The sequence below is a fragment of the Homo sapiens genome, chromosome X (genome assembly GCF_000001405.40).
Source record: "Homo sapiens chromosome X, GRCh38.p14 Primary Assembly".
Classification (NCBI taxonomy): domain Eukaryota; kingdom Metazoa; phylum Chordata; class Mammalia; order Primates; family Hominidae; genus Homo; species Homo sapiens.
The window spans coordinates 25,976,710-25,977,700 of record NC_000023.11 but is presented as its reverse complement, the minus strand read 5'-3'; the positions used below and the strand labels follow the sequence as shown (position 1 = coordinate 25,977,700).

At 56.3% G+C, this 991-nt stretch overlaps 1 annotated feature.

Moving 5' to 3' along the window:
* Window positions 222-721: an enhancer, noted in NCBI's record as "H3K4me1 hESC enhancer chrX:25995097-25995596 (GRCh37/hg19 assembly coordinates)". NCBI's record gives its function as "activates a minimal SCP1, AML or CMV promoter by ChIP-STARR-seq in naive H9 embryonic stem cells {active_cell/tissue: H9 hESC(naive)}" and the evidence as "EXISTENCE:reporter gene assay evidence [ECO:0000049][PMID:30033119]".

Here is a 991-nt window from a genome sequence, read left to right as displayed (position 1 = left end):
TCTGTTTGTTTTTCTTTCAATGGTCAGGTCCCTCTTCTGTAAGTCTGCTGCCATTTTCTAGGGGTTCACTTCAAGCCCTATTCATCTGGTTCGCTCCCGTGCCTGGAGATGTCACTGAAGGAGGCTGGAGAACAGCAAAGATGGGTGCCTGCTCCTTCTGGGACCGCTGACTCAAGGGGCACCAATCTGATGCCAGTGGGATTGCTCCTGTATAGGGTGTCTGAGAACCCCTGTTGGAGGGTCTCACCTAGTTGGGTGGCATGGGAACAGGACCCGTTTAACAAAGTACTTTTACTGTCCCTTGGTGGAGGGGGTGAGTTTTGCTAGGGGAAAACCCATTTGTCTGGGCTGCCTGGATTCCTCAGAACTACCAGGAGGAAAGGCTAAGTCTGCTGGTCCACAGAAACTGTGGCCACCCCTCCCCCTAGGGTCTAAGGCCCAGGGAGATCTGGGTTCTGTCCCTGAGCCTCTGGCTGAAGTTATTGGAGTTCCTGCGGGGAATTCCCACCCAGTGAGGAAGGATGTGTCAGGGTCAGTCCTGAAGAGGCCCTCTGGCTGCAGTCTGCCACAGCGGGTGTGCTGGGCTGTGGGGGGCATGTCTTGGGACCAAGCTGTCCAGCCTCCCTGGCTCCAGCAGGGGAAAAGCATGGCCTGGAGCTATAGAGATGAGTGCCACCCTTCTCTCGCCCAGAAAGTTTAGCTTATTAGGCAGTTATCAGTCCCAGTGCTGGCTGCTGCTGCCCCTCCCCCAAGGAGCTCAAACGGCTTAGACAGCAGGCAGCCTCAGCTGTGGCCTGGTCACCCCTCCCCGCAGGAGCTCGGTAGGCTTAAGCAGATTCCAGCTGATAGGCTGTTGAGAATCTGCGTGACTCCCGGGTTGGGATGCTAGGCCCCGGTGGTGTGGGTTTGCAAGTGGGATCTTCCAATCCGTGGGTTGCACAGTTCTGGGAAAAAAGCACAGTTTCCCTGGCTGGGTAGCACACTCACTCAC